Source organism: Homo sapiens, chromosome 5 (assembly GCF_000001405.40).
Source record: "Homo sapiens chromosome 5, GRCh38.p14 Primary Assembly".
NCBI lineage: Eukaryota > Metazoa > Chordata > Mammalia > Primates > Hominidae > Homo > Homo sapiens.
The window spans coordinates 64,754,644-64,769,768 of NC_000005.10; the positions used below are offsets into that span (position 1 = coordinate 64,754,644).

At 39.0% G+C, this 15,125-nt stretch overlaps 2 protein-coding genes and 1 long non-coding RNA gene across 9 annotated transcripts in view, besides 8 other annotated features; 1 reads left to right on the forward strand and 2 right to left on the reverse strand.

The window, feature by feature from the left end:
* Window positions 1–14,048, reverse strand: part of SREK1IP1 (SREK1 interacting protein 1) — a 50,544-nt gene extending 36,496 nt beyond the window's left edge. The window contains exon 1 of the mRNA NM_173829.4: window positions 13,862–14,048. Within this exon, the coding sequence (NP_776190.1) occupies window positions 13,862–13,874 (13 nt within the window). The 5' untranslated portion in view covers window positions 13,875–14,048. The remainder of the gene's footprint in view (window positions 1–13,861) is intronic.
* LOC124900985 (uncharacterized) lies at window positions 96–13,853 on the reverse strand. Of its 3 annotated transcripts, XR_007058787.1 has the most exons (4): window positions 12,312–13,853; window positions 10,332–10,478; window positions 4,724–4,837; window positions 96–127 (listed from the first exon to the last, which is right to left on the reverse strand). It is a non-coding gene; the product is annotated as an uncharacterized LOC124900985 (long non-coding RNA). The 3 variants fall into 3 exon arrangements; XR_007058788.1 differs by lacking the exon at window positions 4,724–4,837 and having other exon boundaries at window positions 101–127; XR_007058786.1 differs by lacking the exon at window positions 96–127 and having other exon boundaries at window positions 1,488–4,837.
* Window positions 11,597–11,736: a silencer, noted in NCBI's record as "silent region_16053". NCBI's record gives its function as "represses an Ori minimal core promoter by ATAC-STARR-seq in GM12878 lymphoblastoid cells {active_cell/tissue: GM12878}" and the evidence as "EXISTENCE:reporter gene assay evidence [ECO:0000049][PMID:35858748]".
* Window positions 13,332–14,058: an enhancer, noted in NCBI's record as "H3K27ac hESC enhancer chr5:64063802-64064528 (GRCh37/hg19 assembly coordinates)". NCBI's record gives its function as "activates a minimal SCP1, AML or CMV promoter by ChIP-STARR-seq in primed H9 embryonic stem cells {active_cell/tissue: H9 hESC(primed)}" and the evidence as "EXISTENCE:reporter gene assay evidence [ECO:0000049][PMID:30033119]".
* Window positions 13,332–14,783: a biological region, named in NCBI's record as "MED14-independent group 3 enhancer GRCh37_chr5:64063900-64065099".
* Window positions 13,430–14,629: an enhancer, noted in NCBI's record as "MED14-independent group 3 enhancer chr5:64063900-64065099 (GRCh37/hg19 assembly coordinates)". NCBI's record gives its function as "activates an origin of replication core promoter dependent on BRD2, BRD4, P300/CBP and CDK7 cofactors, and independent of MED14, by STARR-seq in HCT116 cells {active_cell/tissue: HCT116}" and the evidence as "EXISTENCE:reporter gene assay evidence [ECO:0000049][PMID:35650434]".
* Window positions 13,781–13,870: an enhancer, noted in NCBI's record as "active region_22599". NCBI's record gives its function as "activates an Ori minimal core promoter by ATAC-STARR-seq in GM12878 lymphoblastoid cells {active_cell/tissue: GM12878}" and the evidence as "EXISTENCE:reporter gene assay evidence [ECO:0000049][PMID:35858748]".
* Window positions 13,799–14,093: a silencer, noted in NCBI's record as "tiled region #1989; HepG2 Repressive DNase matched - State 1:Tss". NCBI's record gives its function as "represses a minimal TATA promoter and a strong SV40 promoter by Sharpr-MPRA in HepG2 cells {active_cell/tissue: HepG2}" and the evidence as "EXISTENCE:reporter gene assay evidence [ECO:0000049][PMID:27701403]".
* Window positions 14,021–14,340: an enhancer, noted in NCBI's record as "active region_22600". NCBI's record gives its function as "activates an Ori minimal core promoter by ATAC-STARR-seq in GM12878 lymphoblastoid cells {active_cell/tissue: GM12878}" and the evidence as "EXISTENCE:reporter gene assay evidence [ECO:0000049][PMID:35858748]".
* Window positions 14,059–14,783: an enhancer, noted in NCBI's record as "H3K27ac hESC enhancer chr5:64064529-64065253 (GRCh37/hg19 assembly coordinates)". NCBI's record gives its function as "activates a minimal SCP1, AML or CMV promoter by ChIP-STARR-seq in naive and primed H9 embryonic stem cells {active_cell/tissue: H9 hESC(naive and primed)}" and the evidence as "EXISTENCE:reporter gene assay evidence [ECO:0000049][PMID:30033119]".
* The window catches only part of CWC27 (CWC27 spliceosome associated cyclophilin), a 249,846-nt gene continuing 248,995 nt past the window's right edge, over window positions 14,275–15,125 (forward strand). For 4 of the 5 annotated variants that reach the window (NM_005869.4, NM_001364478.1, NM_001318000.2 and 1 more), the window contains exon 1: window positions 14,287–14,545. In NM_005869.4, the coding sequence (NP_005860.2) occupies window positions 14,504–14,545 (42 nt within the window). In that variant the 5' untranslated portion in view covers window positions 14,287–14,503. Of the gene's footprint in view, window positions 14,546–15,125 lie in introns of all 5 variants that reach the window. The other variant, NM_001297644.1, reaches the window with a different exon arrangement.

Genomic DNA, 15,125 nt, shown 5'->3' on the forward strand with positions numbered 1-15,125 from the left:
TTGCAGAGATGAGGTTGTGCTTTGTTGCCCAGGCGATCTCAAACTTCTGGCCTCAAGCGATCCTCCTCTGGCCTCTCAAGGTGCTGGGATTGTAGGTAAGAGCCACCGCACCCAGTAGAATTTATTTCTTTAAGAAACAGCAACAACAAAAAATCATCTCTGACCCAGCTTAATGACCTACTCAATTATATGACTCTTATAAATCAACAGAAAGGCCAATTTACTCAAATTATTTGACAAATACATCAATAACATTTTTTTCTAATTCAATATAATAAAATAAGACAAACACATATGGCTAACAAACATAAAAAAAAGCTCCACATCACTAATCATCAGAGAAATGCAAATCAAAACCACAGTGAGATACCAACTCACACCAGTCAGAATAGCTATTATTAAAAAGTCAAAAAACAACAGATATTGGTGAGGCTGTGGAGAAATGGTAATGCTTATAGACTGTTGGTGGGAATGTAAATTAGTTCAGCCACTGTGGAAAGCAGTTTGGAGATTTCTTAAAGAACTTAAAACAGCACTATCATTCGACCCAGCAATTCCATTACTGGGTATATATCCAAAAAAAAAAAAAATCATTTTACCAAAAAGAAACATGCACTCACATCTTCATTGCAGCATTATTTACAACAGCAAAGACATGGAATCAACTGAGGTGCCCATCAATGGTGGATTAAAGAAAATGCACTACATATACACTATGGAATACTATGAAGCCATAAAAAAGAACGAAATTACATCCTTTGCAGCAACATGGATGCAGGTGGAGGCCATTATCCTAAGTGAATTAACACAGGAACAGAAAACCAAATACCACATGTTCTCATTTATAAGTGGGAGCTGAAACATTGGGTACTCATGGACATAAAGATGACAATAACAGATACTGGGGACCATTGGGAGAGGAGGGAGGACAAGGGTTGAAAAACTGTTGGGTACTATGCTCAGTACCTTAGTGATGGGATTTGTACCCCAAACCTCACCATTATGCAATATGTTCAGGTAACAAACTTGCACATGTATCCACTCTGTCTAAAATAAAAGTTGAAAAATAAAAGAAAGTAAAAAAAAAAATCTAGTAAACAGTTAAGAGTTTAAATATTCCAAGAATTCTATAGCATTGAGGAAGAAATTCCAGGGTACTCTGGCCTGTCCCTCAAATGTAAAATAATTTATATATATATGTATATATATACACACACATACATACATTAAGGTTAACAAATATTCTCCTGTTTTCCATTAGAAGGAAAAAATATCTAATTTCTTATAGGAATTGGTGAAATTCCAGAACATTTACTATAATTGCTAGGTATTATAAGAAATATCTAAATTCAACACTCAAATTTTGACAAGAGAAAACAAACTAGTCATATATTCACCCAGTTCTGATAAATATTTACAAATACAGTAATCCTGTATAATTAGTAGTACATGCAGGCAATGCTAAAGATATAGATACCAGAGACAAATTAAAACTGATTTCTTTTTATTGTGATAAAATATAAATAACATACAATTTACCATCTTAACCATTTTAAAGTATACAATTTAGGTGTATTAAGTACATTCACAATATTGTACAACCATCATCACTATTCATTTCAAAAACTCTTTCATCATCCCAAATACTAACTGCATTCATTAAAAAACTGACTATTCCCTCTTCCCTCTAGCCCCTAGTAGTCTCTATTCTACTTTCTGTCTCTATGAGTTTGTCTATTCTAGGTACTTCATATATAGGGAAATCATACAATATTTGTCTTTTGGGCCTGGATTATTTTACTTAGCAGAATGTTTTCAAAGTTCATCCATATTATAGCATGTATTAGAATTTTATTCCCTTTTATGGCTGAATAATATTCCATTGTATGCACATATAGTTAAAACTAATTTTATCCTCCAATAGTGGCTTCAATCAACCAATGAAAGCCCCAGTATAGTATTATTCCATTTTCTTCTTTTTTCCTTTTCCTTTTTTTTTTAAGAGAGAGTCTCACTCTGTCACCCATGCTGGAGTGCAGTGGTGCGTATCTCGGCTCACTGCCAGCTCTGCCTCCCAGGTTCACGCCATTCTCCTGCCTCAGCCTCCTGAGTAGCTGGGACTACAGGCACCCACCACCACGCCCAGCTAATTTTTTGTATTTTTAGTAGAGATGGGGTTTCACCATGTTAGCCAGGATGGTCTCGATCTCCTGACCTCATGATCCGCCTGCCTTAGCTTCCCAAAGTGCTGGGATTACAGGTATTATTCCATTTTCCTGGTAAAGGGCATATAATTCCCAAACCCTTGAAATGGAGATATAATCCTAACTAAATAATATATTTAAATATATACAGTCCAAACATAAAACAGTGCTAATTTAAAAACAAATATAATTTTAAAACTATTTCTTTGGTGTTATGAAGTTAAAACATTAGTTATTTTCCCCTTAAATTTTAATATTATTTTAAAGTATACATTATTGAGGTGGGGCATCATGGCGTACGCCTGTAATCCCAGCAGTTTGAGAAGATTCCTTGAGGCCAGGAATTTGGGGCCAGCCTGGGCAACATAGTGAGACCACATCTCTACAAATTCTTTGTTTTAATTAGCTGGTCCTGGCATGTGCTTTTAGTCTTAGCTACCTGGGAGGCTGAGGTAGGAGGATCGCTCAAGCCCAGGAATTCACGGTTACAGTGAGCTATGACTGCGCCACTGCACTCCAGCCTAGGTGACAGAGGGAGACTCTGTCTCTAATTATTCTAGTAAAAGTACAGTCTGTTCTACTACAATACTTGTTTTAAAAATGCAAGTATTGTTCTAATGTAATTGATACATTGGGGAAAAATTTGAGCATAATGTGATTTTCATCCACATAAAACACTAAGTAAATGCAGAACATTGCATCCAGCTGATCTGAACCACACAGGAGTATACAAAATACACAAGCACATACATCTCAAAACATTTCTAGTGACCTCAGTTCACCGCAAATGTTGTGAACATCCATCAACATCTGGTGTTACAACTTTTCATGGATTTCTTATTGCCCTTTTACGGTCACTTCACAACTCACAAACTGCAACTCTTCTGAAGCTCACTTGCACAGCAAACTCCAGGTCTTTTAAGAGGTAAAATGTCATACTTATTGTAGTATTTATGCATTTTTTTAACCAATTAACGTGTAAAACTGTGCTACTGTTTCTATTAGGTTCCTATCTTTTTTTTTTTTTTTTTTTTTTTTTTGAGACGGAGTCTGCCTCTGTCGCCCAGGCTGGAGTGCAGTGGCGTGATCTCAGCTCACTGCAAGCTTGGCCTTCTGGGTTCACACCATTCTCCTGCCTCAGCCTCCTCCTGAGTAGCTGGGACTACAGGCGCCCGCCACCACGCCAGGCTAATTTTTTGTATTTTTTTTTAGTACAGATGGGGTTTCACCATGTTAGCCAGGATGGTCTCGATCTCCTGACCTCGTAATCCACCTGCCTTGGCCTCCCAAAGTGCTGGGATTACAGGTGTGAGCCACTGCTCCTGGCCCTTCTTTTTTTGAGACTGAGTCTTGCTCTATCACCCAAGCTGGAGTGCAGTGGAGTGATCTCAGCAAACTGCAACCTCTGCCTCCCAGGTTTAAGTGATTCTCCTGCCTCAGCCTCCTGAGTAGGTGGGATTGCAGGTGCCTGCCACCACACCCGGCTAATTTTTGTATTTTTAGTAGAGACGGGGTTTCACCATGTTGGTTCCTATCTTTTTTTAATATGTCATTGAAGCTTTTGAGCATTGTACTCTAATCCCATTGTTTCCCTGTAAACCCTGTCATAGTTAAAAACAAATATGTTGTAGCAGAATTTGACTGGAATAAAATCAAATGAATAATATAATCTGAGGGTCTTTCATTTTGAAAACAACTGCATGTTGAGAAAAGCTCAGAGAATTGGGGTCAGCGTTAAATCTGTTTCCATAGAAACTGTAGATGCTAAAAAAATACTGAATAAAATTATGCTAAATGCATCATTACTATTACTACAACAGAATAAAAATGTTGTAATAGATCTGAAATAATCTTATCTCTGCATGTATTAGAATTGAACTCATGACAAAAGGCACTGATAAATTCATCACTCAAGTATCCCACAGTTTTAGAGTAAACAAACTATGAAACTTTTTCTTGGCAGATCATCATCTTTACTAAAGTTGAAACTTTTACATGACAGGGAAATATAACCAGAACTCTAAATAAAGTACTTTACATCAGCTAGTTCCTCACCAGTCTTTGGTTAAATTATTATTTCAGCTTCATTAGTCTTTAATTTTCGTGATTGTCTGGGCAACTGAATGCTTCTACCCAAGAGTTTGAATCTGAGGCAACTGACTTAATAGATCTGAGGCAAGTGACACAATAAAGTGGGGAAAGTTAATTCATTCTGCTGTCAGGATCCAGTTTCCAGGGGCACTGATGTCACTGGCAGTAGCAGCCCTAACCAGGTTTGGGCTTGTGCAGGATCTTGGATATGGGTTCCCTGGGTCATTTCTATTTTCTGACCCTTATTATGCAGGCTTTGCTTAGATTCACTGAGCTAGCTGATATCTTTCCTTTTCTGCTTAAGTTAACTAGTCAGTTTCTATCGTTTGGAATAAGAACCCTGGCTGATATAACGGTACTCAAAATCCATGTCAAAGTGACTATAGTAGAGCTATATTGTGAGGTCCTTACTCAGCTAAGTTACCTACTTCCCTGCCTTGGGCTCCCGTGCAGTTCTTGGCTCCATTCCTTTTTGAAGTTTGCTAAGGCTGTTCAGAGTAATACAGTGTGCCCACCTCAAAATTTTCCTTTCTAATCATGACCTGCAATCCAAAAGGCATTATATAAAAACTTATAAATTTGACATTGGAAAAAAACTGAATGGCAAAAACCACCAAAAGCAAACTCAAAAGACACGTGGAAACTTGAGGAAAAAATATTTGCGCCTCATAGGACCAAAAAAGAGCAATTATCCCTATGTATATATCTCAGCAAATCATTAAGAAAAAGATCAGTAACCAACAGGAAAAAAATGGGCAAAGGATGTTCACAGAAACGGAAATAGAAATGACTCTCAAACATGTGGAGATATGCTCAGTCTTACTTAAAACAGGTAAAATGTACACTAAAAACTATACTGGGATTCCATTTTCACTTATCAGAATCGCAAAGATTGAAAGGTTGAAGGAAGTGTAGGGGGGCATACTCTCATACATTGCTGGCAGGAGCATAAATTAGTACTATCTCTTATGGAAAGCAGGCTGACAAAACCTGTCAGAATTACAAGTGTACATACCTCTCTGACACAACAATCTCACATTTGGGAATTAGTTCTCCCAATTTATGTGCACAAATGCATACTGACTTATGTACAATGTTATTCACTATAGCATTGTTTTTAATAGGGACAGAGTAGAAATAATTTAAATATCAATACGGAACTGGCTAAATCAATTACGGTATGAAATAATGGGGATGGTTTTTATTTAATGATGTCATGATCGCTAAGATATACTGTAAAAAGAAAAAAAGCAAGGTGCAGAACAGTGTTTATGGCATGCTGCCATTCGTATAAAAAAAAGAAGATGATAGAGCAGGAGCACTGTCATCTGGGACAAACACCACCACTTTAAATTCCAGCTCCCTTTCTAGCCTCATGCATTTCAAGGAAATTACTTCTCTTCTAATTGTAAGCAGCCAGAAAGAACAGACAATAACATACAGATAAGACAGCTGGGCACAAAGGGAGGTGGGGGGAAAGTCTCTTGAGCAACTGCCAAACTTCACCCTCATACAATGGGCCCCAGTAAAATAGTGGGCCTTAATAAGCACATTCCTTTCCCTTCAGGTGCACTAGGATAGAAAAGCTACATGCAGACTGATAGGCCTGCAGCTGCAGAAAGATGTATGGGAACAGACACACAACTCTCCCTCCCAGATAAGCACAACAAAGAGTCAGAGAAGCAGTCCAAGCCTCTGATAAACTCTCCCACCCTGAATCTTTAAAAACTCTTAGTTTGTAAGTGAGTGTGCCTCTGACCTAACTTGGCCAGAAGGCACCTCTCACGTTTGTTTTCTCTAAATAAATCTGTCCTGACTGGCGAGCCATCTTTTCATGTTTCTTACCTCTTTCTTTAATTCTTACAGAAGATATTAGACATACCTCTGTAAGGATATAGATTGGTTACTTGAAGAAAGAAAACTAAGTCCAGACAGAGAAGGACTTGAGTAAGAGACATGTCACTATATACCTTTTGGCAGTTTTAAAATGTGAAAGGTGATTAAATTACCCTTTCAAAAACCAATCTGGAAAATCTCCCTCAAACAAACAAAACTGTAACACTAAGAAAAGTAACTGTCAAGTAAACATTATCTGACAAAAGGCAATTATTGCATTTGTAAATTCTTCAGAGAGGTTACATTGCAGACTTTCAATAAAATTTTATTAATTCATGATGTCAGAGTCTTCATTCTTATACTTGCTAAATATTAAGGGCTTACTCTGAATCTAGTATTCTGTTAAACAACTTGGGTGATAGTGGGAGGAATCAGGTAATTGGGCTGGTCCTTTTTCTTCCAGTAACTTAAAGTAGCCATATAATTTTGAATCCAACTCAGTGCTTACCATGATGGAGAGTTGCTAAGAGGTGCTCAACAAATACTTATTGATTTGAGGTTATAAGCTTAAGAAAATACAGTCATGTTTCATTTAATGACAGGGATACATTCTGAGAAATGTGTTGTTAGGCACAACACAGAAATTTTGTCCTTGTGGCAACATCATGGTGTACATAAATCTGGGTGATATAGCCTGCTATACACCTAGGCTATATGGTATAGCCTACTGCTCCTAAGCTACAAACTTGTACCGTATGTCACTGTATTGATACTACAAGCAGTTGTAACACAATGGTGAGTACTTGTGTATCTAAACATACCTAAACATTGAAAAGGTACAGTAAAAATAAGAGTATTATAATCTTATGGGACCACCATTGTATATGCAGTCAGTTATTGACCAAAACATCATTTTGTGGTGCATGACTATACTTCAGAAGTTGGAAACTGGCAACTTCTCTAGACCCCAGTTGCCAGCTAAGAAATACGCGTGTGCGTATACACACACACTCAATTTATTTGTCAAAATTCTTCAAGCCAAACATTTGTGATCTGTGCTGTTTTTAAAACATGTAAATTATGTCTTAGCAGTTAGCACAAAAGAAAAAAAATTTTAAAGTTAACAGTAGACAACGAAGAAACAGAAAATATTGAGAAAACCAAAAAGAAGGGACAAAAATAAAAGGACTGAGAAAAATTGAGAGAAAGATGGCGAGTCCTCAACACTTGCTTCAGGTTGGTCAGTGGTCCGCAAAGGAATGTCATATTCGATTTAAATTTATTTCCTTGAAATTTTACATCACCTATCTTTCCAAAGGCAACAACTTAGTCACTGGGAATTTTAACAGTGATGCTTAGAACTTAATATATTTTTCCTATTGTCTATTTTGGAATTTAGGGAAGCCTGACATTTTCATTACATTAAAATATTTCCTAGAATCGCTTAAATTTAAACATATACAGCTTAAGTAACTAAGTTTTTTAGTACTAAGTAATTAGAAATTGCAATTACTTCTGTCACAGGACCCATTCTTTTCATTTTTAATTGGATTAGAGTCAATTAGATTAATTTTGTTTAGTAACAAGTTTTATATTTGGTTACTCCATTATGGTTTTAGTTACAATCGGGGAACCTATAAAGACAATTTCAATTACTTCTGCTTTTAAAATTCAAACTGCAGCCATATTTTATAAGTGGTAATATCTATTTATATAATATATATGTTCTGCTTAAGTTGATGCAAAGTAAAATTCCAAGTATTTTATTTTTCTACCATTTATATTAAAAATTCATAGACACACTCCTTTCTTTGGGACCCCAAATACTGTACTAAAGTCAAAGTAGACAAAGCAGTAGAAATTAGTCATTTTTTACTAAAACATTAATACTTCGTTAATTAATAAGATAATTTAAAAAATAGGCTAAATGAGTTTCTCAATGCAAGTATTCTGAAATAGCAGATGTCTTAATAGTCCATTAAAAATGCCTTCATAGGCCAGGTGTGGTGGCTCACACCTGTAATCTCAGCACTTTGGGAGGCTGAGGTGGGTGGATCACTTGAGGCCAGGAGTTCAAGACCAACCTGGGCAATATGGTGAAACTCCATCTCTACTAAAATTCCAAAAATTAGCCAGGCGTGGTGGTGGATGCCTGCAATCTCAGCTGCTCAGGAGGCTGAGGCATGAGAATCACTTGAACCCAGGAGGCGGAGGTTGCAGTGAGCTGAAATTGCATCACTGCACTCCAGCCTGGGTGACAGAGCGAGACTCTGTCTCCAAATAAATATATATATAAACAAATAAAAATTAAAAAAAGGCTTCATAATCATTTGACTCCAAAAGGAGAACTAGCAAACCAATCAAAGAGCTGTTTACTGATATGAGATTTATACTGATATGAAATGTATAAAACTCTTTAGTCTACATGCCTCACAAAGTACAATTAATCCGTGAAGAAAAAAGGTGTAAGAAGAGACAGAGAGGCTGGGCGCGGTGGCTCATGCCTGTAATCCCAGAACTTTGGGAGGCTGAGGCAGGCGGGTCACAGGGTCAGGAGATCTAGACCATCCTGGCTAACATGGTGAAACCTGCCTCTACTAAAAATACAAAAAATTACCCGGGTATAGTGGCATGTGCCTGTAGTCCCAGTTACTTGGGAGGCTGAGGCAGAAGAATCACTTGAACCCGGGAGGCGGAGGCTGCAGTGAGCCGAGACAGTGCCACTGCACTCCAGCCTGGGCGACAGAGCGAGACTCCGTCACCCCCTCCCCCAAAAAAAGAAAAAAAAAATAGAAGAGACAGAGAAATTTGTTTAAGAAGAGACAGAAATTTAATTACCTAATGAAACAGAATGAAGACTGTATTAGCTTAATCTGTTTAGTACTATTTCTGCTCAGCAGCAGTTATAGTAATCAACCCTCTAATTATTCATTATTTACCTATGATGGGTATAACTTTGAACTCGATGTTAGAGAAGCCATAGGGATGAATCAAGCCCCTACAGGGATATCCAATCTTCTGGCTTTGCTGGGCCACACTGTTTTGGGCCACACTTGCACTGTACTTTTACAGCACTGTCACACCTATTATCTCAATTTTTGCTGGGTTTAAACAGTTTATCTATACCTTGCCATCCAACTTAATGGCACAATTTAACATTATTATACTTTGAAGCATTATTTTGAATTGAAAGAAGGTTAACATAACAGTGGTGTGAGTTTAAGAGAATTTTAATAAGGGCTTAAAAATCACTTTTGTCCCCTTTCTTAAGTAGTATTTTCATGTATTGCTTAAAGTTTTATGAGGGCATAAACTATAGAATACACTGAAATACACTAACACTAATAATAGCTGATGAGCTTTAAAAAAAAAATCACAAAAAAACTCATAATGTTTTAAGAAAGTTTACGAGTCTGTGTTGGGCTGCATTCAGTCGTCCTGAGCTGCATGCAGCCCATGGGAAGCGACACTATACTAGTTTATCTATGGTAATGCAACCACAGCTGTAATCCATGATAGAATGTGCCAGGTTCCATAAAAGACACAGAGCTCTATTTAATAAGCATGAAGAAGTGGCAGGGAAGAGTTTCAGCCAAGAGATCAGGAAAGCTTCCCATAGGTAGTTACAGGCAATATAGGAGGTAATAACAAAGGCTCGTAGGTAGGAAAGCACTTGAGAGGTTCACAGAATAATTGGCCAAGTCAGATTTTTGCAGGATTGTAGAATGCATGAGGGGAGTGGTGGAAGGAAAGAGTAGAAAGAGTGATTTGGTCATGCTTGGGAGTGTGCACTGCATTCTCGCAGAGAGAGATGGGGAGACTTGGCATTTTTAACACTTTAGAAGCTTAAGAAACCTTAGCCTTCAACTCCATTATGGAGACACAAAAACTGAACCTCCAAAAGGTTAAGTGGCTTGAAGAGAACTACAAAATTCACAGATAGGGGTCAAGAACTAAGTTCATGCCTCCCACCAATGATAGGATCAGATATATGATTCAGGAAAATTATTTTAGCAGCAATGTGCAATATAGACTAGAGAGAAAACAAATTACCTATAGTCTAGTTTAGGAATAAAGAAAAATTGGATGTAATTGAGAATTCTTCTATTACTAAGATACTATCATAATGTGTTTTAAAAATCTTATTCACTGTGATGTGCCAGACTGAAATGTTAGCTTGGCCACAGAAAAATTCCCTACCTTGGCTATAGGGCTTCAGTGAAGGAGATAATAAGAAAACAGTTTTGTGCCAATTACATCAGTAACATACGTTGCCACTTGTGCCAGTTCAGCTCTTCATGGAGAGTGGTGAATCACTGACATGAATGTTGGAGGTAATTTCAACAACTGTGAATGGGAAAAGCAGTTTTTTCAAAGAAAGTAAATTTCACTGAAACCTGTGATCAAATATTATTTCTATAATAACAACTAAGAGTAAGATTTTCCTAAATGCCTACATTTCATTGCATTACCTACATAATGGTATACGCTTATACACAATGCTATGGAAACACGGGTGAAGCACATGATCATAAAACAGACAAGGCTGATTTTTATGTGTGGTTTGCAGAAAGCAGCCTTGTTACTTTATAATCATACCTTGTCATAATCACTAGCAGGACCACCCCAAGAAATGCCAAACTGAATCCATTAAACCTAAAATTAAAGAGCCTAACATAATACTTGTCCTCCTTGATGATAACCTTGAAAAGTTTAGATTAGCCCTATTTTCCTTTAATACCCTGTCTGGATCGATCATCTAAGAAATTATCTTACGATTTTCTGTATCTGTATTTTCTAATGACACTTGCATTGTACTTTTACAGCACTGTCACACCTATTATCTCAATTATTGCTGGGTTTAAACAGTTTATAGCTTGCCATCTAGCTTAATGGCACAATTTAACATTATTATACTTTGAAGCACTATTTTGAATTGAAAGAAGGTTAACATATCTATAACACTGGTCTAAGTTTAAGAGAATTTTAATGAGGCCTTAAAAAATCACTTTTGTCCCCTTTCTTAAGTAGCACATTTTCATGTACTGCTTAAAGTTTTATGAGGGCACAGACTATGACACTGTGTCCTCCAGTGTGCCCATATCACACAGGTGCCCAAAAGGCTTGCTCAAGTAATGAAATGAGCAGTGATAACAGGTCAACTTTGGGTGCAGCTGTGTGGTATAAAGATCACTAGAGCTGACTCGGCCTATCAGGATGCCTAGGCAATCTACTGTGTAGGTTTATCTTTCGCTGCTGGCCTCTTAGATGTTGACCAGGCTTCAGCCACAGACCTTCCCTTCACATTCTACACACCATCTAAGCAGAGTGCTCCACTCCCATAGCCTTACCTCCTATTATGTGTGTGGGTAACACCCAAATCATTGTCTTTGACTCTGACTTCTTTCCTAAGCTACAAATTATATCTCTTACTATTAACTATTTGCATTCCTATGTCTGACTAACCTCAACACAACAAGCCCCAGACTGGATGTCATCATCATCCCCTTAACCCCTGCCCCTTGTGAGGTGTTGTCATGTCAGTAAACAGCCCCACCCAATTGCTTAACAGTAAAACCCAGGTAAACCTCATTTCCTCTTTTACCTACCCACACTGAATCAATCACCAACTCCTAGTGACTCTACCACCAAAAATGTATCTTCAATTTATCCACTTCTCTCCTTACCTATTGAGACCACATCTCAGCCACACATCATTATAACTCACCAGAATTACTCCTAACTGGTAAACTTTGTCTCCAATCTACTTTCTAGCCAGAATTATCTTTCCAAAATGTGAATCTGCTTTAAAATCCTTAAATGGCTTCCTGCCATCTGTAGGATAATGCCAAACCTCTTGTCATGGCCTACAGGTCCTTAAAGAGCTGGAAACTACCTTGTAAGTTATCCTATACGATGGCAAAATGAATGAAGTACACAGTCTAGAGGAACCAGACTGACTTCTTGCTTTCCAGCTGTCTCATAATAGGCAAATTACTTGATTTCTTTGTCCCTCAGTGTCCTCATCTGTAAAATGGGAATATTAATACTCATTTCACAGTGCAGTTGTGAATATTAAATGAGATAGAATACAATGTTTGATATAGTATCTGACATATTTGACTTATAAATATTAGTCAATATTAGCTACAGTTACTATCTACTTAATTTCTCACTTACCTCCCATTTGTATTTGAGTTCTATCCACAGAAAACATCTTTCATTCTGACATATTTGACACATAAATATTAGTCAATATTAGCTACAGCTACTACCTCTGTACTTAATTTCTCACTTATCTCCCATCTGTATTTGAGTTCCATCCATAGAAAACATCTTTCATTTCCTCTTTTCACATATTTCCTCTTCCTTTACGTATCCAGTTCCTCCGACTGCAGTCTCCTCTCCCTTCAAGCCACCCCTCCTACAATTCAGATCTCCTCCTAAGTGCTACCTCCTTTGGAAAGTCCTTCTGCCCATCCTGTATGTGTTTGGTGCCCTTACTTTGTGCTAAGGTCTTGTATTTTCCTTGCCATGGCACTTGTCCCACTTTCTGTAAATTTCTCTCTCTTCACTGCTAAATTCTAAGTTCTGTGTGAAGCGTAACCATGTCTACCTTGCTCACCACTGTATTTCCAATGCCCAGTACCAGTGCCTGGCACACAGTAGGCTTAATAAAGAGTGTACATTTCCTCTCTCACAGCTCCAGATGTACTCCTCCGCAAACTTCAGTTAGTACAAAAGCACAGTGTTCCAATAACAGCTATCTGTAGAAGGAGGTTCAAAAAGGCTGCCACAGAATAAAGAACCTGGTCAAATAATACTGGGAAGTGCAGGTTTAAACAAAGTTAGGGTTCTGAACCATAGTAATTCTATAGTTCATAGTAATTCTATAGCAATTCATAGTATTCTATTCTAATAGAATAGAATCTTTTCTATTACTAAAGTGCGCTGGGAATTTCCAAGTTGGGAGGTGGGGTGGAGAAGTGTGTATTTCTGAAAATGTCTCCTGCAATCAGTGTTCTGCAGTGGCAAAGCTGGTTTGAGGAGATGCTTTCCGCTACTAGAACTTCCAAGTAAGCTGGTAGTTGAGGACGAGAAAATCTTTTAAGTAATTATTCTGCAGAGTTCACCGTTTTTAGGTCAGTAACTTCTGGACATAGAATTTGAGAGTTAGAAGAAATCTTATATATAATTCAACAAAGCTCCTTCTTTTTATAAGGAAACTGAGGCCCAGAAGCACAAAGCGACCAATCTATGGCCACGGAGCAGCTACATACAACAGGAAGAGCTAGGAGTAGAACCCGCACACCCGGTGGGTCCTAGCGACTTCTAAGACAAACGATGCCTCCGGTTACCTGGGTCGGCCAAGTGTTCCCACTTCAAGTTTTAGTTTTAAGCCATACCACAGTTAAGGTAGTTTTTCTCGGCCGCTTGCCCCCTTAGGCCTACAGTTACAGTCTCTCCCTCCTCCCTCCCTTCCACAATACACTTTCCCTGTAATCCCAAGCAGCTGGGGCTTGGCTCCTGGGGGGAAGATAGTTATTTTCTTTCCTTCAGAGTTTATGTTTGGAGTGTAAACTTTTTCATGTAAACAAAACAAACCTGTGAATTTTAAGGCCTCCGCCTAAATCCCCATGGGCGCTGCTCCGTACACGCCGCACCCTACCCTACCCTCCCTTGCGCTCCCTTCGGAGCTCGGACGCAGAGGCCCTGTAATTGCTCCTTACCTGGGACTGCCATGACGGTGGTAAGAGGGGTAACTCGAGCCTCTGGCTTTCGAAAAGGCGCTTGCTTCCCGCCAGCTGTGAGAACAAGGCACAGTCAAAGCGGCGTTTTCCTTCCCCCAGCGCAGCAGCACCCTCGCTACGGTCGGGAAGGGCCTGTACGCCTCTAGCGACGGCAGAACCAGTAGATGCGGATGCAGTTTCCGGACGAGTCATATTGCAGAAGACACATGGTCCGAACCATTACTGATAGTTTTGGAGGGGGAGTTAGTTTGATCTGCACACGAGAGTAGTGTAAACACCGCCAACACTTATGAAGTGTCCCTTCTAATATTGTAATACAAATAACATAAATAACATTAAGCTATGGTAACTTTACGGACTTTTCTCGTTCCCTGGAGTACATTGGAATAACCCTTCTCAGGGTTAGCGGTGCTCGGGTCCGGTAACAACATGGCGGCGTCCGTGAGGGGCTCCTTTGGGCAGGGGTAGTGTTTGGTGTCCCTGTCTTGCGTGATATTGACAAACTGAAGCTTTCCTGCACCACTGGACTTAAGGAAGAGTGTACTCGTAGGCGGACAGCTTTAGTGGCCGGCCGGCCGCTCTCATCCCCCGTAAGGAGCAGAGTCCTTTGTACTGACCAAGATGAGCAACATCTACATCCAGGAGCCTCCCACGAATGGGAAGGTGAGAGCCTCATCTAGGGAACTTGGGGTCCTGGGATCCCCAAAGTGAGATTTCCCGGATTTGGGGTGGGGAGTGGGTTTCAGGATCTCGTGGTAGGAAGAGACCACGAGAAGTGTTGTCTTTACTCCTGCATGTGGACAATGTTGCATCGAAACACTGATGTTGGTACTTTTCAGGATGTACTTGAAGAAGTCAAGTGGAGATTTCTCTACCTACCAGCATTCCGGTCCTATTTAATGCTTTAACCCAACTCATGCAGCCGATTTCTGGGGTCTTAGGTTTTTAAACAGACATTTTTGAGTTTGATATATTCTTTGCTTAACTAAGGTCATTCATTCTCCATTTCTTCTACAATCATTAATTGAACGCCTGCGAGGCACTGGGCACTGTACTAGGCGCCGGAGATACAAAGATGGATGGGTAAGGTAGTTGTTTTCCCGGAAAAGCTTATAGTTTAGTTTGTGAGACAGACAGGTAAACAAAAGCCTGTATGTCTGATAAGCGTGCTTGTGGAGAAGAGACCAGGTTGCTATGGCGGTACTGAGTAGTGAACAACTGGGGAAGTTAGGAAAAGCCTCAT